Raw genomic sequence first — 27,185 nt, 5'->3', positions numbered from 1 at the left:
ATCAGCCACTTCACTTTTATTATACTAAAAATAAATTAATCTTTGCCTCCAAAATATCTCTTGTTTCTTTCTGATGTCCCTATTTCTGATAATGGCACAATTGATCTCCCTGAAAGCAGAGTTATTTCTAACATCTCCATTCCATTTATCTCTTCTTTTCAGTCAGTGATAACATGTTTGTGAACTGTGCCTCCTTACCTTCTCTAACATAGACCCTCATTACCTCTTTCCCACATTTTTTTTTTTCTGAGGAAAGTGGTATCTCTCACACCCACCTTTCTGTATTCTAAACTGTCCTAAACATTCCTACAAGATATTTATGACATATAGCTCTGTCATTTTCATTTCCTGTCTTAAAAATCTTTCGGCTGCTAACAATAGTGATAGCCTGCTCATACATAAGAGTCTGACCCGGAATGAGTCCAAACGTTGTTCCAAATTTACTTCTTTGTATGTGCATAATTTATATCCTTGATAATCAAAGTCTTCCCCCAAATTGTGAAGGTAGAGTTAGCCACACATGGAGTGTGAGAAGGATTGCAGGCAGAACTAGGACATGTGGAAAGGGCCTGGCCAGTGAGCTGAAACGTGCTAAGAAGGGGCAGATAGAAAACAAGAGGAGGCTGATGAGGTACCCAGAACCTTGCAGGCCTGTTAGGGTCCGTGTTTTGTGTTTTTTCTTTTTTGGTGTGTGTGGATATTCTAAGTGTAATAGAAACTGACTGAAGGTTTTATGCAGAGGAGTAACAATGAGTTCCTATTGAAGTTTTAAACATATCACCAAGCATAGTTTATGTAAAGTGATATCTTGATCATGGCTTACTTGATCTTGCTATCCACAAGCAAGTTCTTTCTCTGTAATATGGGAAGCAAATTTACCTCTCTCTTAAAACACATCACATTCCACTTTATAACATAGCTGTTTCATTACACACCTTATTTCCTCTACTAGTGCAAGCTCCCAGAGTGTACAGAATGTGCATTGTTTCTCTTTGAAACCACACAGAACTTCACAAAATACTTGGTAATGAATGAATATCTTATTTTCTAACATTAACATTCAAGTTCACAGGAGAGGATGCAATCATATATAGAATGTTGAGATAGTTGATGAAAATCTTAGTCTTTATTCATTATGATTCTTCATCACTCTACCTTTGTGTAGATGAAGCAAATCTTTGTAATTATCTAGATATTGTTCACTCTATCTTTGAAACAGCAATAAATCTTATCGACCCATTTACAAGGCTGTAATAAACATTGCCCAACTGATAATCATTGAGTACTTTTTCTAAAGAAAATACATCAGTTTTCTCTCCTAGTATTTGTTATATTAAATTTGAGAAATAACTTATTTTTTTTTTACCACATATCCAGTCAGAAGACCCAAAGCAGGCCTACAGGTTAGCAAAAAATGAGAGCATTTTAAATTGTTCCAAGGAAGAAGAATAGGAATGGATATAACTTTTCTGAATGCAGATTGGTTGTTGAACAGATAATGATTTATAGCACATTTAAAATTACTCTTCTGGATGGAATGGTTTATAGAGGGGGGAAATGGGATTGTTCTTTAATATCCTGAAGCATGTGAAAACCTATGCAACTTTCATTGATCTGCTCTCTGCTGGATAACACTGCTATTTAAAATCGATGACATATTTACTTCTCTCAGAATGCTTCCATGGTTATAAACCATTATTTGTTGTTTGTTGAGAAGTAAATTTCTTATTCATCCCCTCGTTAAATTGGAGTTTCCATAGACTTTGGGGTACCTTAGGTTTGTCAGTATTCAGCTTATTTTTTCATACTCCTTCCCATTCCATTTCCATTTCATAACCATTTGTGATAACTTGAGGGTCAATAGTTTTCAATCGTGTCTGAAAAACAAATTAACAAACTGTTAAATTCTGCACACTGCTCATCAAGCATGTATCGGCAAAACCTTTCATAATAATTATTTAATAAAGATAAATATAACATTAATTTGATGCTTTTGTTTTGGGGGATGCAGACTTTTAAAAAAAAACAACAGCAAGATACAGAAAGGTGTACATCAAGAGATGAACTCTCCTGTATCAGACAGTCATATCAAGTTTTACAGGAGCTTATTACATCACCTTAAAATAATGTTCTTTAACGGAGTTAAAAAGGGGAGAAAACCTGTTCAAGAATGCCGCCCGGCCAAATGGCCCATGATTGATGGGGCAGCAACAACCAGGGGGTATTTGCCAGTTCACCAGTGCCAAGTCCTCAGAGTGAGTTTGCTGCTTGTGACAGCTGGTGTTCTCTACTGGAAGGCTGTTTCTGTATACATCTATGATTTGCATATTTATATACCTCGGCTGCTGTATGAGGTCCACATTTCACAGCAGTGTGTATAAGCTGTGCAGCCTTACTGCTTGAGTGCCTCTAGGCATGAGATGGTAGAATTGGTTTGAGTAAAATGAGAATTTTAGGTTTTTGTGTTTTGCAGAGTAGCCAGTAATGCCACATTTTTGTTCATCTCTCTCTTCATCAACTTCAGTAATATTTTTGAGTCATCTATATGCATGGGCTACCATTTGAAGCAGACACATTATATGCTCTCTAGGAGGGTACAAGCTCAGACACTAAGGCATCATAGGAATATAGAAAGGAAGACATTAAAGGAATATATTTAGTCAAGTTGAAGCCTGAAGTGAGGATTGTGGGATTTGCACATTGAAGGGAGTTACTGATGTTTTTCCTTAAGTTGGGGAGAACTTAAGAAGGTAAGAACTGCTCTGCTAAGTCAGATAAATGAACTTCTAAGCTGAGGCTTCTCTTTCTAAATAGTAATATCACAGGGATTCTGTAACAAATGAGATTTCCACAGTTGTTTGAAATATCAAATATAGAATACTTATTTGCAAAAAAAAATGGGGGCAGGCACATTGGATAAAAAGAACATGAAGAATGTAGCTTAAAGGAAATAGGAGTTGGATAAATAAACAATAAATATTTGGAAATAAAGTGGTCTTAGGAACAGTGACAGTGGTTGGTGAACAGGAAGAGATCTATTAGGGTGGAGCTATCATATAAAGAACTTAGAGGTGGTTGAGAATCTTAGCCTTTATTTGCTGTGAGATTGCAAATTTCTTAAGGTCAACTGAGGATGTTAATTTAGTAAATATGATGGGTGGGGTCTTCAAATGGAAAACATAATCTGAAGCAAGATGTTTGCAAAGGCAGTTTCCAGAAAGTGGCGGTATCAGAAAAAAAGGTAACCAGGTTAGAATTCTAATGAGTGAAGAGGATGGGGTAATTTTTCAACAAATGAAGACAATAATATCTGACAGAAATATTTCAGTTTTGTGTGAAGAACAATAAAGAGTTTACAAGTGAAGTGAAGACATCTTCTGTACCTCATTATTCTGTCATGACCTGGAGCATCAGGTGGTTGCTGATGCAGCAGCTCCTATCCTGAAGAACATTCTTGTCATAGACTGAATGTTTATGTCCTTGCTAAATTCAGTTTAGAACTTTATCCCAGTGTGATACTATTTGGAAATGTGGTATTTGGGAAGTGATTAGGCTCGACCCTCACTTATGGGATTAGTGCCTCTGTAAAATAGGCCCCAGAGAGGTCCCTTTCCCCTTCCATACTCTGTGAGGACAAAGTGAAAAGTCAGCCATCTATGAACCAGGAAGTGGGTCCTCATCAGACACCAAACCTGTTGGCACCTTGATCTTTGACTTCTCGGTCTCCAGAATTGTGAGAAATAAGTTTCTGTTGTATAAGTCACTGTCTATGGTATTTTGTTATAGCAGCCTGCATAAAGACACTACTGTATGTTCCAAACACTCATATTCATTATCTATAAACCTTATATAAACACATGAGTGTATATTATCATCCCTAGTATAGATAAAATAATGGAAACAGAAAATAATAAATAACTATCCAAGTTCATACAACTGATATGTGCCAGTGTCATGATTTGAGCTCAGGTCTGTTGGATTCCACAAGTTATTTTAGTTTATTTGCTTGTTTGCCCGTTTTGCTAACATGCTGCTTCCTTAGACAGAGGAGGAATATAAACAAAAGGTAGTAAACAGTTCTCTTGGGCATATTTAATTTGAGTTGGCAAGGAAATAGCCATCTGGAGAAACTGCTGAGACAAAATACTTGCTGGGTTTGCTCCATGCATACCTGTGAAATGTGTGGTGTTAGATATTACAGTCCCTATTTTATAATTTAAGATCTTAAGAAATGGAGTGGATTATGATAACAAAACTAGTTTATGCTAAAAGTGCAGAAAGTAAAGATGATCCACATGACTAGTCTGTATTTATTCCAAGTATAGCCCTCTAGTACAGTACAGATCACTGGAAAAGCATTTTGAGTGTCTAGACAGCAAACAATAATTTTTCACAGATATCAACCAAATATAAAAACTAAAATATTATATATAGCTGCAAAAAACTAGACATTGTCTTTGAGGCATTACTGTCTGATGAAATGATAAATATCATGAATGATATATAAATCTAACTGTTTTAAAATTACCCATTTCTCTTCTTATTTCACTTGGCATAAGCATGGTTCAGACCCACCTTCAGCATACTGCTCATACAGTCGGAGTAAACAGCTATTCGTAGAACCCTTTGCTAGCTCAGTCACAAATCCAAACTAAACGTTATCCATATGTTTACAGGAGACTTTTTTTGGGATATGTTGTCTTCTAAGTAATATTTGACAAAGTGGCTACTGTTAAATTCCATTCACATGCATCAGGTAAATGTCCATCTGACAAAATCAATTCATACATGGTAAATAATTTTAAAAATATGATTATTATTATTTTATATTGCATTGAACTTCACATTTAGAGCTTCAGACTATGGACTTGCCAAAATGCCATATCTAGCCTTAATGTTTAGTACGTAGTGGCTTAAGACCATAGGTTCTAAGGTCAGACCATATGAATTACATTCCAGTCTGACTCATTTACTAGTTGTGTGATACCATGCAAGTTATATTACCTTTTGTGCTGGAGTTTCCTTTTCTATAAAGAATGCAACAATAACAATCATAGTTGTTTGTATGTCTCTGTGTGTGTATGTAACCATTAAGAGAAACTGTAATCTAAAGTCTTTACCAGACTGCCTGATATAGTAGGTGCTCAATTTTTTATTAGGTATTATTGTTGTTTTCATTTTAATTGTATCTGTTAATACTTTAAAAACATGTTAGTCACATATGGGCTATGCTTTACTGCTTTTTCACACTAAGAAAATTATTTTCAATAACTCATCAGACTGACTTTTTTTTTTTTTTTTTTGAGACGGAGTCTCGCTCTGGAATGCAGTGGTGCGATCTTGGCTTACTGCAACTTCTGCTTCCCAGGTTCAAGTGATTCTCCTGCCTCAGCCTCCCGAGTAGCTGGGATTACAGGCATCCACCACTATGCTTGTATTTTTAGTAGAGACGGGGTTTCACCATGTTGGTCAGGCTGGTCTCGAACTCCTGACCTTAGGTGATATGCCTGCCTTGGCCTCCTAAAATGTTGGGATTACAGGCGTGAGCCACCATGCCTGGCCTCAGACTGACTTTCCATAGAGAAGAAAAACGGTACAAAATCATTTTCTGTGTTTCTGAAAGCTTTTATATTTATCTTGCATAGGAAACTCCAAATGCTTATGATGTTAAAGAGGAAGAGGTTATACCTTTGAAGACTATTAATAAGATTTGCTCTAGTAAATTACTGAGTTTCATTAGAACTCTCTTCTGAGACCAAACCCCTAAAAGGGGAAAATAATCTATTAATTCATTACTCTATGTTACCACCCACTTTATCGTGTTTATTCAGAATTTGGACAAAAGACAACAAAAAGAAAAGCAAGTAACAGTGGTTTAAAGTATGCTCAAAATGAAGAGAAAAAATTAGATGTTGGAAGGAAACTGGTTTAGACGCAACATAATAGATTTGATAGGGTTCCATGCTTTTTGAAGATTTGGTTTTTTTGTAGTTTTTTTTGCAATAGATACCTACTTTACAGTCTATACTAAACTTAATCTTTATTTTTGATAAACTGTCATTATTTTAAAATGTTTTATTTCCTAGTTTATTTTTATTTCATAATAATTTCTAATAATCTTTGTACCTCATCATGATCAAGTAGTTAACAATTTTAAATACACATAAATGCCTTGGAACAGTTTTCAGTATTCAAAATTATATTGGTAAATATCTCTCAAAATGAAACATTTATTCTTAACTTTTAATGTAACAACATTCTCCAATTTATTTGTTTTGCATTCATGTTTTCAATGCAACGTTGGGCTTTCTGAAAGTAGGATATACAGCTATTCTGTTTATTTTTCCTGTAGGACTGATAAGCCTATTCTTGGAATCATAATATAAATTGAGGTGCCTTTGACAATGGATGAGAATAAATCTCTTTTTCCCATTAGTAACAAAAGGCTTAGGCTGGATTTTGTTCTTCAGGGTGTACCAACAAGCTTAACTGTTAAAGTACTATAAGAATTGTATTGTGTGTAATTCAGAAGGAGTTCTAAAAACTGTAGCAATTTCTATTGTAAAATATTTAATGAGGTTTGTCAAATGCAAAGATCAAGACACCATAAATAGATATCCAGATTTGGTCTTCAAATTAAATTAGATAAGAAAATTTACTCTCCCTGAATCCAAGGTATTTATGTATAGACACACACAGACACACACACACACACAATATGTATGTACATAAGGAGTGGTAATATATAATAAAACCAATTTATAAGCAGTATAAGAATTGTTTATAAAATTCAAATAAGTTTAATTCCTCAAAATAATTCACACGACTTGAATGGAATACTCTTCTCATGTTGTAGTCCTTTCACCCTTCTGGAGAATTTCTCATTTACTGATAAATTTATGAACAATAAGAAATACAGTTTTACAGTTTTATGAAAGTTTGTTTCACTGAACACAGTGTTACCCAACTTAATTACACAATTTAATTATTAATATCTGGAGTTGGGCTCTGTGAGTAAATATTTGTTGTGTTGGTACCAAGATATCAAGGTCTTTGAAGTCAATTTCAGAAATAAATTCCAGGAATAATTTGAACAATAATTACATTATTGAAATAAGAACATATTTTTGAAAAATAAATTTTCTGAAAAGCTCGCAGAAGACTGTTACATAACTGGCACAGATCCCGTCTATGTCTGAAGAAGGAAAAGAAAGGGAGAGAGAGAGAGAGACCCTCCTGCACTTTGGATTTCACACTGAGTATATACTTTTTAATTTTTAATTTTTTTTTGAGAGGGAGTCTCGCTCTGTCGCCCAAGTTGGAGTGCAGTGGCACAATCCCGGCTCACCGCAACCTCCGCCTCCTGAGTTCAAGCGATTCTCGATTCTCCTGCCTCAGCCTCCTGAGTAGCTGGGATTACAGTTGTGCACCACCACGCCCGGCTAATTTTTGTATCTTCAGTAGAGACAGGGTTTTACCATGTTGGCCAAGCTGGTCTCGAACTCTTGACCTCAAGTGATCTGCCTGCCTTGGTGTCCCAAAGTGCTGGGATTACAGGCATAGGCCACCATGCCCGGCCTGGATTTCACACTGAGTATAAATCAGTGGCCATCTATCATTAAGGGGAGGGCAGGAGAGCTGAGACCCAGTAAAGTAATGAAGCTGATTCCATTTCATTGGCTTATTAGTACTTATTTTGTTTTTATTTTATAAGTAGTTTATGAACATGTTTTTTAAATATAAAATATTCAAACACCACAGATAGATTGGAAGCTCCATTTTCCACAATTTCTAGTCCAATTCCTCAGGAAAAAAATGTTGTAATTATTTGGAGTAAGTGCCCCTATTTCACAGAGTCACATTGTCTTTCAAGAAGAACAAATAAAATAGATTATGGAAATAGCAATAATATCCTTGAATTCCTTCTACTTATACCTTGCTGCCTAAAAATTACTAACGATTTATACATTCAACGAATGTTTGTTTAATATCTATTTGCCTCCTAGATGCTGGGGATAGAGCAGTGAATATAAATAATTAAGATAACATAACAAAAAAACAAAAACTGTCCCTTTATGAAGCTTAGATTCCAGACCAGGAGGTAATTAATAAAGAAGATAAACAAAAATCCACAATATATCTGATGGTGATAGGTGATAGTGCTATGGAGAAAAGGAAGGAAGGAGAATACTGGAGGTGTTGGAACTTAGGGGCAGGGGCTGCTGCAATCTTCAATGGTGTGACATAGAAATCCTCCCTGGTAAGGTGACATTTGAGTAAAGACCTGAAGGAAGTGAAGATGAACACAATTTGCTTACCACCACCACCACCTACCATGCCTCTCACCACATCTGATTGGGCTGTATCACCATGCCCATGCATGGAGGATAATTAAGGCCCGGCCATGACAGGCTATTCCCTCAGCCCCCTAAGGAGAAAGAACCTAAGCAGCTTTTCATAGTTAATTGCTTAAATTTATTTAAAATCATATTCCATTAAGTGAATTATGGACAGTTCTCTTTCCTGTGTGGTATGCCAGAAAGAGCATGAGCTTTGGAGCAGAGAGACCTGGATTCAAATGCTGACTCTGCTAATGACTAGCTATTTACTTGATACAGAAAAGCTTCTGTTTGCTTATTTGCAAAATAAAAATATTAATATTAAAATATTGTGAGAATTGAACAGGTGCTACTAAATGAAATGTGATTAAAGTATGTTAGATGTCCCAGCGGTCTCCTAGTCCCTGATTCCATTCTATATGTTTACATTTCCCTGGCAACTTGAGGATGATATTCTCATGTCTTCTGATAGATTTCTGTCTACTAGAAAGTAAACTGCAAAATGTTAAAAATTAATTTTATTTATTTATATTTATTTTATTTTATTTTATTTTATTTATTTCTCATTGTGGTATTTTATTTTTTATTTGAGTATCTCTCAAAGTCAAGTTCCTCAGGTATTGTAGGTGCAAAATTTTGCGAAATGAATGAATATGTTTTTGTGGGTTTTTGTTCTTGTTGTTGTTGTTTTGTTTGTTTGTTTTTTGAGATGGAGTTTCACTCTTGTTGCCCAGGCTGGAGTACGATGGCACTATCTCAGCTCACTGCAACCTCTGCCTCCCAGATTCAAGCGATTCTCCTGCCTCAGCCTCCCAAGGAGCTGGGATTACAGGCATGTGCCACCATGTCCGGCTAATTTTGTATTTTTAGTAGAGATGGGGTTTCTCCATGTTGGTCAGGCTGGTCTCGAACTCCCGACCTCAGATGATCCACCCGCCTCAGCCTCCCAAAGTGTTGGGATTACAGGCGTGAGCCACGGCACCCAGACAAATGAATACATTTTATGTCTATGTGTGTGTGTGTGTGTGTTTTAAAAGTAATCCCTCCTTTTTAGAGATTCCATCTCAGATTTTGAAACTACCTATTCATTAGCACTTGGGTTTTCTTAGCTATAAAATTTCACCGAATAGTTGGTTTACCTCTTTAAGGTATATTTGATGTATTTGTGAGTTTTTTCAACTTTCTACTTTGACTTGCGAGAAATAAAGAACTCATACTCAGAATTTATTTGGCTACCTTTACAATGCTGCTAGTAAAAAAAAAAAAAACTATGTTGCTTTAAAGACTTAGGCAAGAGAGGGGGAAGAGGAGAAATGAAGGAAGGGGAGGTTAGGAAAGCAGAAAGGCGGGAAAGAGACAAAAGGGAAGGGAAGAGAGAAGAAAGGAAAAGGAAATCCCAAAGAAAGCCTTTGCCTTTTCCTAATCCCCCATAGCAAGCAATTATTATCAGCATTTTCTGCCTGGAGGCATTGGTATGTAACATAAATCACAGAATGGCTGTACTCAGCCAGGAACTGAGTGACTCAGGGAGAACTCCAAGTGGTGGGGACAAGCCAGCCCTACCTCCAGCAGGAGGGCTGCATACACAGCTGGATCCCTGAGTGTTCCTTATTACACTTCCTGGTGACTCAGACAAGCACTCACATGCTAGGGCAAGGGGTATTTCATTAGAGAGCGTTCAGGTGATTTTTCATCCTCTAAAGCTGAGATGGAGCTGAGTCAGCCAATATAAATCCAGATACCTAATTAAAAGAGCTCATTTGTATCTGCTTGGCTGCTTGTGTGTGAAGGCTCATAGATTGTCTAAGCTGAAGTTTCTATGAAAACTCCTGTGTTAGGATACACTAGCTCTACCTGCTGAAAAAGACTCAGCCCCTTGGCTCCTTTGGTGGAACTGTGCTGCACCTTTATCCAGGTGAACCATGGTGTTTGGTGTGGAAAATGTTGGCAGAAAAAGGAAGATAGCTCAGAAAAGTAGAACGAAGGTGATAATTATTTCATCTTCAGAATTTTCAGGAGCTAGATATCTTCTGCCACAACTCTTCCAACTTGATAAGCAAAATACCAAGGGGGTTCCAAAAGAAGCAGAGCTAAAGGAACACATCTTCTCCTGATTATATTTTCTTGCATTAATCTGTTCAAAAATATGAGTAGTTGAAAAGAGTTGCATAAGGCAAAAAGCTTTGATACTTTATCTCTGCAAGATGCAAAACATCCTCTAATAAAAATAATTTACCTCTCTAATCCACCAAGAAGTAAAATAAGATTCCAGGGTGAAACATAAATCATTTGTAATTTCAGCCAGCCAGGTTCTAAATGAGTTACCCTCTTATTTGGACATAGAAATTTTAATCTCTGGAGATTTATCATTTGCAACTTTGCAGCTATAATTATGTTTAAGGCACATGTCTGTTCTTAACTAGATAGGGAATGTGTCACAGCCCTTTATGTATCGAAGGCATCTGCCATGATGTCTAGCACAGCATAAGCATGGAGTCAGTGTTGATTGGAAATGATAAAAAAAAAAACGAACAAACAAAACCCTTGTACTAGTTTATGAATATTATTCATCTTTGCTTGGTTCCTTTCCTAATGGCTAAGAAGCTGAAGACCTGTATGTGTCTTAGAAACACGTGAGTCTTTATCACTCTTCTCAGTTTAACATTTATGTCCCAATGATATAAATAGGGTTTGTGCTTTTTCTATTCCTAAAGTGTTCTGAATTTGAGTATCTAAAATATGAACTTGAACACCCAAACTAAATTTTCTTAACTTTTATGCAGCATACTTCACAAAAGTAAAGACTCTGAATGTTCAAATGTGACCAACAGGCTTGGATTAAGTAAAAGCAATTACAGAAGATGACTATTTTCTGTGAGTAAATTACTATATTTCTAGTAGAAACTTTGACTTGGGGATTAACTTCAAAGAGTGTTAAAACTAAAAAGGACTTAGGAATTATCAAGCCCCATTTTTAAAAAACTTTTTAATTTTTTTTTTTTTTTCAAAATTTTATACTACAGAAACCCTTGGAAACTGACATTCAAGCTTTGTAGATAGAGCAAATATGTTAAGTGTTCCTCTGGTTTAGAAAACAGGTTGGATATCTCACATTCCATCTCATATTCCACCTCTCATATTCCACTTCTTGTGGTGTTACATGAAACATCTAGGGATCACAAGAGTCTAGTGGGAGACCCACTGCTCTTTACTTTACAAAGGAGGAAACTGAGGATTAAAATGTTACAATGACTTGCCTATACCAAAGAGCTAGCTTGTATCAGAAGTGAAGATAAAACCCAGACCTTCCCTGTTTTGCTTCCATAATAAAGCTGCCTTCACTCCTTTCTTTATTTAAAAAGTAAAATATATTCATTGTAGATAATACCACATTAAATGTATGGCATCTAACTCCCAGTAGAATTTTCTTTCCACTGTACCATGCTGCTGCACTCTAGGTTCACTAGAATAAATACCATTCACTCTGTGTGTGTGTGTGTGTGTGTGTGGGTGTGTGTGTGTGTGTGTGTGTGTAGCTACTATATAGTGCCAAACTTCAAGCTGAAGGGAATTCAAACCACAAGTCATGGTCTTTTAATTTTTTGGAGTGAATGATTCAATGGCAAAAATGTATAAAAATAAGTTAAGTAGAAAGGGGAAAGTATGCCCCCATGTAACTGGAAAACACAAGGGTGTTTAATTTCAGGCATGATTGAATCTGGAAGTTCAAATGACGTCATAAGAATTATGTTTTTCTCTCTACCTAAGTGCTTCTGCATACAATGGGAAAGATGACCCTGGAAATTCCAGACTAGATAATATATGAGATCTCAGAAGAAAAAAGAGCCAACCTCTCTCCTCTGTCTTTCCCCCTTTCCTTCTCTCTTCCTCTTTTTTCAGCCATTTCAGTTTGTTGAAAGAAATAATCTGACTGGCTCTGATTTAGTCAATGCTCACTCATTAGCCAAGTACTCTTTCTAAGGGACATAGTAATCTGATTGACTAGTTTGATGACCAATGCCATATCAAGGGAGGTCAAGTTGTATGACAAAAAGCCACACCAAGTGACTACAATTCTTTGAAGAAAAGATGCTACGCAGATAAAAGTGAAAGACAACTCTACATGAAGATAATTTCCAGATGTATGTATGGCTAAAAATGCCAAAATAGGATTTTACCTACTATAGTTCTTTTTACCTATAATCTAATACCTGGTTGATCAGTCTTGTTTCTCTCCTGTTTCATCTTTACTTTTTTGGTAAATGTGCCACTAAGCAAAGCAATATCCAAAGTGAGAGTTTTTAGGAACCAGTGGCTCCACAACAACCACAAATAGGATAGTTTGTCAAAGGATCTTGACATTCAGTGGAAAAGCTGTTAAGAAGAGGTCACAGCAGTTGCCACAGACAAGGTCAGGCTTTGGGTAAATGATATATGCAAACCTCATAAAGGATCCACCCACAATTCTTCATAGCTTAATTTTACTATACATTCCTTTGTATTGCACACCAGGCCATTTTTTTTGTGTCATTCTCTTTATGAATGCCACATCTGAGATACCACTCAGTACATACTAGCTAGTCACTAAAAATTTACTTAGTGAATCTGCAAATCAATGAATAATAACTTCTCAGATGGTATTGTATCTAGATCCCACTGTCTTGATGAGGATTTGTTTCTTGGTTACTTTTTCTCCCATAACAGGAAAGAAAGGTTTATTGTGAGCACTAGGTATCTCTGGGGGATGAAGAAGACATTAACAGCAAAGAAAACACAGAAAATGGAGAGAAGTGTTGCTAAAATCATATTTCATGAAGTTGCCTCTCTAAACTTAAAGATGCCTTTGTTATTAAAAATAAGCGTTATGCTCAGAGAGTTAATTAGAACTAGTCTTTTTCCCAGAATGTGTTTCTGACTATATGGTTGTATAATATTCTGTGCTTTCTACTTTCTACTAATAATAAGTACCATTATGACATATCTGGGTTACTTAGGCCAATTTCTCTGTCCGAATCATATATTTAGTTTTGGTTTCTATTCCTAAATTAGCTAGGTAGGTCTGTACCAGATTTCACTTTAGCCCAGACTAGTTCAACATTTATATTTGATCACAGAAGAGAATGGACAGGAGTGTGGATAACTTAGTTTGATTCATCCCTAATATGAGAAAGATGTGGCCTAGTGACAATAGTTCAGGAAAGCAGACCATCTTTGTGTTAGTATCCAGAACATTATGCATACTAACTGTTATGACATGGTAATTCTGTTCCCGAGTTTATAGTCTTTCATGTAGCAGATATACATTCTAGGATGAAAGTAAATAAATAAATAAATAATACATGAATAAATAAAATTAATATCAGAGTGGGGACTGAAACCCATGTCTTTCCTTATTATCATGGCATTAGAAACTTGCCTTTATTTTATAAGAGGCAAGCCTCCAGGCTTAATGAAGCTGCTCCCTCAATAGTCGTGTGAATCAGAAGAGCTGGGGGAAAAAAAAAGCAGGGATCCTTTTCCATCTTTTGCTTAGTTATAATGCTAGTTATACTCCAAGTGCAAACTCTTTGAAAATAGTGATGATGTAGGAACAGGCAGAATTTTAGAACCCACATGGAATTTGCAACCTTAGCTTGAAAAATCCTCTCTTGACATATAGACTATGCAGATTTGCTATATAAGTGATTTACAAAGAAAGCATATGGAATTCACTGTCACTTTTCTCCAATCACTCTTCACTTCTTCCACATATATTTGAAGGATTACGAAAATGACTGATCCTGGAATAGGTCCCAGGGTGAGCCAGGACCAGGAAACATGGTTTGCAATGAGTTCCAAAGAGCCTTATTCTTCTCCATTAGGTTACTTGTGAGTAGAGGGCATTGTCAAATGTAGTCATTTTCATTTTTGTGTGAGGCAGGGCAGTGTCTTCCAAAGGCTGGGCAGGGGGACCTAACCCTTCAAGTCTTACTTCTAGAGAAAACTTACCTACGTCATTCTAAATAGACTCCTCAAATCCTCACATTCATTTCTAATTATTAAACTACCAAATAAGGTTAAATATGCACACAGTTTATGTGTTTCTGTTATGGCAATGACCACAACTCACTGTGCTTGTTTCCAGGTCACTCTTGCCCACTTTTGGCTTCAGGTGGCATGTTACTATCACGGTATCCCTAGTGTACCACTGTGCATGACAAATAGCGCATGTCAGTAACCATGCAGTAACCACCATCAGTTTTGAATTTTATTCAAAGGGCTTTCACATAGGCAATCTCTTTTTATAACACATTTCCATAGCATATCAAGAGCCAATTTTTTAAATCTCTGAGTAACACACAGAAAAATTGAGGTGTGATAATGTGTATTTGCACAGCAAATCAGGGACAAAATAGGGTGTTTGCCTGAATTCCAAGCCCAACATCTTTGTACTACTTTCTTATGTCACCTATACTCAGACTTCAGAATAGATGTGCTACATTCTTATATCAGCTGTATTCAGACTTCAGAATACATTTTCATGTACCTGGAACATGGAAAATAGAATAGAGAATAAGAAAAAAGACAAACTTTCCAAAACACCAAACCCTAGAAATGAGTACCCCAAACACAGGGCACTTTTGTTCTTCAATCTTGCAGCAGAACATAACCACGTGGTGATAAATGTGACTGTAAATGTCAGACCGTGTTGCTAATTTTTCAGTCAAGGATAGAAAAATGATTTTAGTCTTCCAAATATTTAATACATTTTTTTGCAAAAATTATGTTTTTACTTTTTATATTTAGTGCATGTAATCATTTGTATATTTATTAAATCTTTATTCTATTCAGTGTTGATTATAAGTAATATAAAATGGCTTGAAGGTGTTGGTGGAGGAGTGAAGCCCTTTTCTCTCGGGCTACTTTGATTCACCTGTGAGAGACCATGAATAGGACCAATTTCACTGGCTGAAACCTAGAAGATGTCTGTAGGAGCCCATGCTTAGATCTTCACATTTCACCCCTGCTTTATTCTCTGGGCTAAGTATGTCTGAGGTAGGCAGAATAATGCCCCCACGCTGGAGATGTTTACTCCTTATCCTGGGAATCTGTGACTATGTTACCTTGAAAGGCAAAAAGGGCTCCACAGATATGATTAAATTAACGACTTGAGATGAAGAGATTATCCTGGATTATCTAAATTGGCCCAGTGTAATCACAAGGATCCTTAAAAGAATCAGAGAAGGAGAAGTGATGACAAAAACATAGCTTCAGAGTCAAAATCAAAAAGAGATTATTGATGCTGCACTGCTGGCTTTGAAGATGGAAGGTGGCCAGGAGCTCAGGAATGCAGAGAGCCTTTAAACTGGAGAAGGCAAGGAATTGATTCCTTCTTCAGCCTCAAGAAGGACCATAGCCATGCCACGACTTTGCTTTTAGCCCAGTGAGGCCCATTTTGGACATCTGATCTCTAAAACTGTAAGATAATATGTTTGAGCTGCCTTAAATTTCCAAGTTTGAGTTAATTGACTATAACTGAAATAGGAAAGTAATATGGTATTTAAAAACAAAGTGTTAAATGTATAGAACTAAAAGGAAAACAGATTTACCAATTTCCTGTATTCTAAAATCCTCCAGTCCACCTATCACCTCATTATTAGAGCTGCCTTTCAAAGACACAGCACTGACTATTACTCTCCCACGCAAAAAGACTTGAATGGCTCAACATTACCTACTGAATATAATACCACACTTCAGCCTGACATTCATCTTTCCCACGAACTTCCTTACATTCTGTCTCTCATTTACTTACATTTTTCATGTTTCAGTCGTATCAAACTACTTGTCAATCTCTGAAAACTCATTTAAGTTTGCCACCTTTGAACCTGTGCCCAAAGCATTCCTTAGCCTACAATTTCCTCTTCACCCCTTCTATACATTTTCATTCAACTTACTTGTCCCTAAGGTCCAGTATAATGCTATATCCTCAAAGAGACGTTTGCACAATTCATAAATTACCTTTCCTTCCTCAAAACTCTTTTAGCTTGTTGTTTTTATTCCATGGTGTCACCCATTTCATTGTGCCATGGTTGCCTATATTCCTGTCTCACTTCCTGGATTGTAAGAACACTGAGGGCAGGAAAGAAGGATGAGGAAATTGCCTGTTTTTCCCTGAAGTACCTTGAGCTAGAAGCTCAATAACCATGATTTAATTGAATTGAAAAGCTGACACTAAGCATTCATTGCTGACACTAAGCATTCATTTCTGACACTAAGCAGAGAGGATTTTATTCATAATCATCATCTATCAGTCACAGCATCCTTGTAGTCAGGGCTGTGGATCTGAGATATGGTTCTCAGTTTTACTGTTGAGATCCATATTTCCATATTTCAAGTGTGAAATAAGAATTTCTACTTTGGGTGACAGTAAACATCAGGTGATGGCTGGTGCCACTGGGCTTAAGAGTGAACATCCTCTCTTCCTCCCCACTAAGAGCAGGCTGACTTATAAATAGAGACATTTTACCCAGATTTTATTTCCAGTGGTTTCACTCTGCATTCCACTATGCACCATTTAATGAAACCAAGTTTTGCTTCAGAACTGGTTGATTCTCTGCACCAGGTTAGAGAGTCCAGGGAGCATGTACAATCAAATTCCGTCCAACTAAGCAATGAGATGTGAAATTGGTCTGGGAGCACACGAGCACCTTGAACGATGTCACACTGACTTGTTTGCTACCAGAATGGATGAGTGCAGGCCCTCTCTGAAAGAAGTTTCCTGGGTAATTGAGCCCAAATGCCTGGGAACTAGTAGCTAGCAGGTAAATAATTTCTTCTCAACAGAGGTTAAACACAAGAATGCTTTGTCTTGTTTGGCCCATCATCCTTTAAATTTGAACTTCTTAGCCTCACGGGGACGGTGCTTACCTACCAGAGACCTAGAGGCATTAAAGCCAGTCCGGAGTTTCCAGGAAGGAAGAAATCCTTATAGTACATTTATATTAAAAATATAAATTTTATACGATTGTCTTCTTCGTTTAAAATACATACTTATTTGTGAAAGCTACAACCCAAGAGATTTAATAGAATAAAGGGGAAACTGAAAAACACATACAACGTTTCTTCTGACTCTTTTCTTCTAAATTTTGAGTTGGGGTGTTCATCCCCTACCCCTTTCTCTGTCTCTCTCTTCTTCTCCTGTTGCTGCTGTTCCACCTCTTCTTTATCATCCACTTCTACTTCTGTCCTCCTCCTTCCTTTTCTCCTCCTTTCTTTTCATTGCTGACACTAACCAGAGAGGATTTTATTCATGATCATCATCTATCAGTCACAGCATCCTTGTGAAGCATTCATTGTTGGCCCTCTGTCTACAGTGCTGAAGTACTTGGATCACTGGCCAGCCCAAAAATGGCAAGTTTCAGGTCATGGCTCTTCTCCCTACTATACAATTTTCTACATTTAAATTTTACCTTTCTCTATGTTCTTTCTTACTTCACATCTTAGCACTTCTTGCTTTGCTCAACATTTAAAGAATAATACAGGATACAAAGAAGTTCTGAAGCAGTTGGTGGTGGTATGACAGCTGTTCCACTAGTATTCCCCCAGAGAGCAATTTTACTCCATCCGCAGAGGAAAATTAAATCACCCCCTCCCCAGCCCCCTGCACCATTTCACCGATGAGCACCTGCCAGTGACTTCCAACTGGTAGCCATGACAAGAGAGGCCCTCATCGCTTTCTGGGTGGGCAGCCAAAGTACAAATGACATCCCTGTGCCTCTGCTGACAGCCAGATCTGGTCAAGAAGCCATTGCTCAAAACTTTCTACTTTCTGTAAAGAGGGGTCTGGATTCTGTCTGCCCAAAGCTAGTGGGTAAGAAAGCTAGGGTGATGGCTTTAGGGATTGCCCCTTGATTTTTCACATCCTGATATCTCTCCAAAGTAAGGGTTGTTGGAGCTGGAAGGTGACATTCTTTAAACAAACAACAACAACAATAATAAAGGATTCCCAAAGAAAAATTCAATCATTTGGAGGAGAGAATGCTGCTGCCTTTCCTAGCCAGTTCTGCATTTTCAAAGGGAGATTTGTGCTGCAAGAAGCAGCTTTTGGAAGTCATCTCAGGAGAAGATTCTCTTTTTTTCCCTCACTAATCAACCCTTTTGTGCTGGCTGGGTCCAGTGACGAGTCACATGGAACCTGCAGGAAAGCTATTTTAAACCTATGTTTTGCATGCCAAATGTACGGGAGGCTAAAACCTGACAAGGGAGGTCACCGTCATTCACCTTGCTGCTCCTGGGCCGGCCTTGATGATTCACAACTTTTAGCTGTGCCAGGTACTGAAGTGATTTCTTTCTTTCCTTCTTTTTTTGAATTGTAGATTCCATTACCTCTGGAGGGGAAAATGAGGCTCCCAAATATGTCCCTCACTGCTACTGCCACCAGGTTTCTGCTGGAGGCAGACATGAAAGAAGATTTTATTATATCACCATTTCAAGTACTCTGTGCTAGTTTTTATTATTTAACACTTTCTTGGAATTCTGAAGTTGTTGCTGGGAGTCCTGTTGGCATTCTGGTGTGCCCCGTACTATGGCCTTATAAGGCACAATTTATCTTCCACAAGATGTCATTGATCATACTACAGATACAAATGAATTATATGGTTCTTGGAAAAAAGACAGAATTTCATAGCAACTCATATTTGGATCTTTTAAGAAAGAAGTCCTTTAGAAGTAACTGGGAAATATGCCCTTGGCCTGGGGAAAGAGAGCAAAGCTGACTCCAAACCTTTTATTTTGCTATTAAAACCTTGGCTAGGAAGCATGCTTTAGTGGGTGAATGTAAGCCACAGCATAACGGCCAGTATCTGTCCTAAGAAATTCATCTGGTTTGCTGGTGCTTTTCTAGGCTAAAGCACCCATTTTTGACCATGTGACTTAGTGGATACTTTTTTTTTTTCCCCCTAATTTCCCCAAGGACCATATTCAGGCTTCAGAATAAAGGTAAACCTGAGTTACAGGGCTTTTTTGGTGAGACTCCCTGCAGGAAACAGATGGCAAACTTAAATTGGATAATGTCAAAGGAGTTTAATAGAAATTTTTTTTTAATATTTGGACAAGAGGCAGGGGGTAAGGAAATCAAGGGGGATAGTGCAGTGCTCTGGGGCTAGTAACATCAGGAAGCTGTTAACACCTTTAGGTCTGAAGAGGGTAATGGGAGGGAGTGGTTACCAGGAGCTAGAGAAACAGAGCACTGTGTGCAGAGAGCCTCTGACAAGCACTAGGACTTGTACCAGGAGAACACAGGCAGCCCATGGAGATGCTGTGTTGTGGGAGTCAGGGAAATAAATGCCCAGATATCACTCTGCCACCCTTTCAGATCTTTTATTAATATTCCTCACTGATTGATCCCAATTGGAAGCCAGAGACAAGGATGTCATTGATATAATTCAGGTGATCAGCCTCCCAGGGCACAGAGCAGGGGACATCAGGGGATGGGCCACTCTGTGTAAATGGAGGGTATCCAGCAAAAGAATAATTCCCAGGATTTGTGTAACCTTTACTTTTTCTTTGAAGGGACAGCTTCTCTGTCAAATAGGGTAAGTGAACAGAACCTTTGGCTTCCCTTGAGTAAAAAACATATCTAGTGTCTAACTCAATCTTGCGTGTCTGTTTTGATTCAGCAATTGATGTTGATTAAAATGTTCATGTGAAAGAAATATAAAGTGAAAAGATTCATATTTTTCTCTAATTTCTGAGGGCTTATAATTCATATTATAAATAGATTCTTATAAATCCAGAACTATCCTTCAGAAAAAAATGTTTAATTGATCCAGGAACATATGGGTAGCGTCATACATGAGGCAGCTAGAGACCTCTTATATCCATTCAAAACAAAATTGTAACTTTATGAGTAGTCAGCAAAGGTAACCACCATATTATGTAAGTAACCACCCTATTGTAATCGCCATTGTAACTACCCTACAAACACAGAGTTTGAAAGGCAAATATCTTTTGTTGGGTGACATTGGAGGAACAGGTGACAGATGCAACCAACACCTTGCAATTAATTACTGGAATTTTTCAAATAGTTTATTTCCCAACTAATTGTCACTGGGAAAAATGGCACACTTAAGAAGGTAGAGACTACTGAAGATGAATGGCTTGCTCCCTGGTTTTGCTACAGGCTGGCCCTGAATCAAGCTTTACTGTCCATAAATTCTACTAACAGCCACTTATGTGGCCAAAAACTGCTCCTAAATTACCAACACTGATGCTTTCTGATTCTGTTTGGCAGAAAGCAGAGATAGCAAAGCCCAGTAAATCCCATTAAAGCTAGGACAGATGGACAACCCTGGCTTCAAGCTCTGGTTGAGCATTTCAATGCTCTGTAACATAGACAGTGTATTTACTGTCTCCTAATCATTGTCTGAGAGTGAACCTAGAGGAGGTTCTGTTCTCCACTGAACTTCTATAGTATCAGCTCCCATTTGCAGCATTGAAATTCAGCTAATTCATTCCTGCATATTCTTTCACCTCTTCAACTCCAGGAGTCCTTGGCCCTCTTTATTTTTAATTGCATGTCTTCTTTACATTACATTTTGTCTCATATCGTGATGCAGAAACAGGCAGTACTACATAGTGCAAGGAGTCATGGATTGAAACCGGAACACTGGTTTGATTCTGGTCTACACCTCTAGCTCTGTGACTAGGATGAGTTATATCATCTCATTATACCTCAGTTTCTGATGTTTAATATTGATATGATGATAAGACCCTGTTTAAATAATATGAAAGGACATAGCATAGTTTCTAATACGTAATAAGTACTAAATAGATAGTTCAATTTGATTCTGTCCTCCCTTATCATTAGGGTAGTGTGAATGCAAAAGTAGCTCACACAAAAGACTTGTTAGATTTACATTTGTTCATTTTACTCACAGTTGAAGTCATGTGACTCTGTTTATATTTCTTCTTGTCCAAATGTATAGTCCATAGCTAAGTCACACTATACAGAGATGTGCTTTTGTGGATACTTTAAGCATTGCCTATCGTCACCCCACTTTAATGCACTATATTTCAAAATCTCAGATATAACTAATCATTACTTAGCCTTCACAACTATATTGTACAAAATATTCCTTCCTTGGTAGACTGGATATTACAGGACATTTTGTTTGGTGATTCTTTGACAACTTATGTAAAGAATGCACACACACAACAAAGTTATTCAAGATATATATGTTTGTTAACTTTATGAAGTGAAACATACATGATCATTCAGAAGCCCTGTCATTGATACTCTTCTCTAACAACAAATCCCTTTACCATTTGCTACCCAGATAGTTGTATTCAGTGGCAAAGTTTATTCACAAATTCATCCTTTTGGCAGATATTTATTAGTAAGGGCCTATCATATGCCAAGCACTGTGTCAGATTTTGGAAATTCAAAGTTGACTAAGAACAGCCCTGCCATCAAACGGTAAAGGTGCATGGATGCCAAGGAGGGAAGAACAGAAATGCAAACAAAAATAAGTGACTATAGTCGATGAGAGTATATTTTTTCTTCAAAAATGCAAAGATAGTGGATGTTAAGTGTTTTCATCACAAAAGTGATGACTATGTGAGGTGATGCATTTTTAATTAGCTAGATTTAACTATTTGACAATGTACATATACTTCGAAACATCCATTGTACATGATACATATAATTTTACCTGTCAATTTCAAAAATAATTTAAAAATTATAATGTTCAATGACAACATCTATGGAAATGTGAACAGGGTCCAGTTGGCACACAGAGGGGAAATGGCTTTTTCCCTAGAATATGGAAGATTTCACTGAGGAGGAAAATAGGGGCAGGGTCTTGAAGTCAGAGTTGTCCAAGGAGGCAAAAGGATCAAAAGAAAGAGATGCATGCATGTAGAAGTGGTTGGGATGTACAGGTAATAGCAAATAGTCTGTTTTAAATAGAGAAAAAGGAACATGGAGAGGAATTGGAAGAGACAAACCTGGAAAAAAATTGGTCGAGTCCAGAATGATGGGCTTTAAACACCTTAAAATATTTGACTTTACCTTACAGTTTTTTTTTGTTTGTTTTGTTTTTTTTTTTTTTTTAGACTAGATTCGTATTTTAAGAAAGACACTAGGAACAGTAAGGAAAAGATTAAGTCTGTACCACTCTTTGAAATATTTGCCTCTATATAGGATTTTTCTGTTTCGGACTGAGTTGCAACCTTTTCTTTCTTCAGCTTATTTGTGATGCATGACATTGTACTGCTTCTGAAAGAGGATCATAATCTTTTAAATGTATTCGTTGAGAGAGTAGTCATCAGACTGGCTTGTGGAGGATTTTCTTGAGGGCATCAGATTATTTTTTCTGACTTGTATAACCAAAATACGTGTCCCAAAGGATAGGAACTGCATTCCAGCATCAGTTAAGTATCTGAGCATGGCTGCATAAGAAAGAATAAATAAAACAGGGCTTGTTTCTCAGTGCTTTGCAACGGGAGATGATTTGAAAAACTCTGACCTGATCAGCCATTTTTTCATCTGCCTGACTGGGTATGAGTGAGCCCCTGGAATAGTTGCTACATACTAATGTCTAAAATACAGGAATGAATGAGATTTGGAGAAAGAAGCGAAAGGGGTATTGACAATGATTATCTTCATTTCATGTGTGTTTTGGCCCTGTTGGTATCTGGAGCACTCTTGTTTTGCCTTTAGAAATTCAGAAGATGCTTATTATTTGGGCAAATGCAAGAAAGGATCAGACTATTATGCACAACTGCCAAGGCTCCCTAGCAATTATTGCTTCCTTTCAGGGTTGCTGCAGCAGAAGTATCTGACGTTGCTGGGGTGCTGGCAGATTCTATCTGTTGTCATTCCTCCGTCTGCTCCAGCCTCCAAAACCAGGGCCTTTGAGCTCTGCTCCCCATCTAATCAGTGCCTCCCTACCTAACGACATCCACTAATGTGTGCTAACAGATGTCTGAGGGAAAATTAGCTGTGGTGTCCAAATCAATTAGACCAGAGTTCTGTGCAGGAACAATTGCTCTGCAAGCTGTATGGGCTGTATTTTTTTTTTCCTGTTTCTTTTTTCCAAAGGTGAAGTCATGTAGCTCAGGCTCAGCTTCCCTAGTCCATATTTTCCACTTCCAGGCAGTCTACCTCAGTGCTTAATGGGTTCTGATTGGACCACCAGATGGAGATGCCTCTACCAGGTGCAGTTCCCAGTAAACAAGTTAAGAACAGGAGGGCTGCCTCAACCCAAAGGCAATGTAGCCCAGAATGTCAGCTTCAAAGTACAGCTTTGGTGTGTATTTAAATTCTAGGAAATGCTATGTTGACTGAGTTTCCTTATATGACTTATTAGAGAAAGGCAACAATTTTTATGGATGAAGAATGACTTGATTAGCTAACATGCCTACTTTAGCTCATAGAAAGGGATTTCTACCTCCTGTCTCCTAACACAAAGGCCAAATTTTCAAAAGCATGAGTAAGTGGAGTAAAGACTTTCTATTCCAAGGTTAGGCAGACCTGGACTCTGACCCTGTAAGCTATGAAACTTTGGGGAGTTTAAAATTGAGCCTAGGTTATTTCCTTAACAGAGATGCCATTTACATTGAAATGTATTTGATCTCTTTGGGGCAAAGTTTAATTATGTGTAAAGTAGGCATAATAATATCTACATCTCAAGGAAGAATCTGGTAATTAAATAAAACATTCTTAAAACAAGGCCTGTTATATAGTATATGCTCAATAAATGATAGGCATATAATCATTAATTTTTACATTCTGTTCTCAGAGACACCTAAGTAACATCCAACTTATGAAGAATTCTCACTTTTTATAAAACAGGGCTTGTTTCTCACTGCTTTGCAATTGGAGATGATTTGAAAAACTCTGACCTAATCAGCCATTTTAGGCTTTTTTTTTTTTTTTTTTTTTACCACCTCCACCCAATGAAAAATATTTTTGAGCTGTCTGTGGTTATATACTTTTTTTCTTATCATCTTTTCCCAGGTTTGCTGACTCTCCAAAATATGACAGTGAAACCTCTAACCACTACCACTACTGCCTTCATTCCCTACTTGTTTCCTGCCACATTCCCTTCAAAGACATTCATTGTGATCTTCTATAAACTTTTATGTTGAGGAAATAAATACCTGTCCCCAAAATAGGACCAATGCTCATAATAAAAATTAATAAATGATTGGTAAAGATAATAAAGTGCAGAATTTAGAGGCACTTGAAGAAAGTAGTTAAATTTCTTCTCTTTTATTCTACATGCCTATATTTGGAGTTTCATCTTGCTTAGGTTAGACGATCCTTTTGAACATTTTCAATAACTGTCTTTATGCTGCTCATAATCCTTCAATACCCTACTGCTTATTTATGTATTCCATTTTAAAGCTAAGAACCTTTGTGAAGCCTACCTCAGGCAACCCATGTATATGGAATGATCCTATTTTCAAAACGTCTGACATTTGCTACAAAGCTTTTTCAGAAATGGCAGCCTGGGTTTTTTTGTTTTTTGTTTTTTCTTTCTTTCCATTCTGGAAATGTAATCACGACTGAAAGGCATCTAGTCTTTTCAGGGCATCTTCCACTGCTGGAGGAAGTGGAGACACAGAAAGAAATGGAAGCCACTCCATGCAGCCTGAGCTCCCCATGCTCACCTCTCCTTCTTACAAACACAGGTTTTGTTCACATTACCCTCCTGTACAGCCTTGGAGGTCTGGCCAGCTGGGGCTGTGAGAGCTGAGGATTGTGATATATGAATTACCTTCTAATCAGAAACCAGTGGGGTTGTTTTATCTTCATAAAGATTGCTTCTTTTGTTTTGCATTAGTTTTTTTTTTTTTTTAGATACAATTATATTTCTACTTTCAGCTGCTAACTGTGGCCCAGAAATAGAGACCTGTCAGACTCCCCATTTCAGTCTGTCACCCTTTTATGCATGAAACGGTTCTCCATGAACACACAAACATCACACTCAGCTCTGTCAGATCAGCTTCATGGCCACATTTATCAAAATTATCCCAGAGTCCCTTGCAGAGACGAATATTAATAGGGTTCATTTAAAACCAGGAGTGTTACTAATGCTTTTTTCTGTGTGCTAAATGGGAGGAAACAAGAATTACACAAACAAACAAAAAAGAAAGGTAGGGTTGTTAGAATAGTTAATAAGGCGAGGTGAAATCTTTGGGCAAGGGGAAATAACGCTGAGCTTTCAGAAATTTTGATACATCAATTTACATATTATTATTCCCATTGCTTTCCATCCAGAAAGCAAAGCAGCCTTTCTCTGTGTACTCAACACACTGCAGGTAATCAAGCCTGAGCATTTTCCCTGAGTACCTTCTATCTGTCCATCTATCTGGAGCATTCTTAATAGGTAATATATTAATTAAAAAGGGGATAATGTTGTCTCTGCATTCAATTGGTAAAGAGGGCTCATGGAGGAAGAGTAGAGCAACTTTTGAAAGCATAAGTGGAAAGACATTAAGAATTTTTCTTTAATTTTTATTTTATTTTATTTTTGAGACGGAGTCTCGCTCTTTCGCCCAGGCGGGAGTGCAGCGGCGCGATCTTGGCTCAGTGCAAGCTCCGCCTGACCGGTTCACGCCATTCTCCTGCCTCAGCCTCTGGAGTAGCTGGGACTACAAGGCGCCTGCCACCATGCCTGGCTAATTTTTTGTATATTTAGTAGAGATGGGGTTTCACCGTGTTAGCCAGGATGGTCTCCATCTCCTGACCTCGTGATCCGCCTGCCTCGGCCTCCCAAAGTGCTGGGATTACAGGCGTGAGCCACCGCGCCCGGCAAGAATATTTTTTTATTTTCATTTTCATATAGATCCATTTGCACACAACAGACCAGGTCTTATTGGCAGGTCTGCTTCACAGAGCAGCAAGCTAACTTAGTGGTGTCCCTAGTAAGTTTTGTTGGATAGCATTTCACACTGTGATGCTGCTTTTATGCCCAGGAAATGCCATTTTGTTGCCTTGTGTGGGGTGACATCTGCTCTGAGTTAGGTAGATACTGCCATCATTCCTTCCTCAAGCAAAGTAGAGAATCAGAAGCAACCTTTTTGTGTCCATTGGCATTAAGCTGATTTTCATAATTATGTATTATCCCGCCAGAATTATCATGTTTCACATTCTACATGGAAGAAGGTAAACAGAATGCTTGTCTTAGACCCTTGTCTGCAATCACCTAAATCGGAAAGTTTTTGATGAGTTGGTTAGTTTGTTTTTAAAAAAAGCATATGATAACCAGAGAGGAGTGTTTAAAAAGTAAAAAGTAATGGTAATAAGTAAAACCATCAATTTTTAATTAAGTGGAACAGCATCTCAAAGAATGTAAATTCCATCCAAATGAGTGAATACTACTCGTTTCCAATAGATAGAGGCCAGGGATGTTGCTTTATATCATGTAAAAACTCCCACAACAAATAATTATCTAGCCCAAAATTTCAATACTTCCAAGGTTGAGAAGCTTTGTACTAGAAAGGTGTAAAATTTCCAAACAGATCAGGGATAGATTGAGCGATAAAAAAGGCACTGGGTCATTATACTCCTGGAGTTTCTAGAATAGGAACACAGTTGTTTATACAACTCTGACTGAAAGATTATCCACCTTGTTCAGTAACATCATTCTTTGCTACCAAGTATGTGTGTCTGGCAGAGACACATACATGCAGAATGGTGAAAAAGAAAGAAATCATGCAGACAGATTACTTGATTAAGAACTGCTCATTAGGCCAGGCACGGTGGCTCACACCTGTAATCCCAGCACTTTGGGAGGCCAAGGCGGGTGGATCACGAGATCAGGAGACTGAGACCATCTTGGCCAACATGGTGAAACC

The 27,185-nt window shown here is 37.6% G+C and overlaps 1 protein-coding gene and 1 long non-coding RNA gene across 6 annotated transcripts in view; one reads left to right on the top strand and one right to left on the bottom strand.

The window, feature by feature from the left end:
• LSAMP (limbic system associated membrane protein) overlaps positions 1-27,185 on the top strand; it is a 643,114-nt gene that overhangs the window by 375,682 nt on the left and 240,247 nt on the right. Inside the window, exon 1 of one of the 5 annotated variants that reach the window (XM_024453520.2) lies at positions 1,871-18,650. The exons of the other annotated variants lie outside the window; for them this stretch is intronic. Within the exon in view, the coding sequence (XP_024309288.1) occupies positions 18,554-18,650 (97 nt within the window). The 5' untranslated portion in view covers positions 1,871-18,553. Of the gene's footprint in view, positions 1-1,870; positions 18,651-27,185 lie in introns of those variants that run through there. 5 annotated transcript variants of the gene reach the window in all.
• LOC124906269 (uncharacterized) overlaps positions 1,105-27,185 on the bottom strand; it is a 277,601-nt gene continuing 251,520 nt past the window's right edge. The window contains exon 3 of the long non-coding RNA XR_007096010.1: positions 1,105-1,877. This is a non-coding gene — a long non-coding RNA (uncharacterized LOC124906269). The remainder of the gene's footprint in view (positions 1,878-27,185) is intronic.

Source organism: Homo sapiens, chromosome 3, assembly GCF_000001405.40.
Source record: "Homo sapiens chromosome 3, GRCh38.p14 Primary Assembly".
NCBI classification, from domain to species: domain Eukaryota; kingdom Metazoa; phylum Chordata; class Mammalia; order Primates; family Hominidae; genus Homo; species Homo sapiens.
The sequence above is the reverse complement of the archived record's forward strand: the minus strand, read 5'-3'. Positions and strand labels throughout refer to the sequence as shown.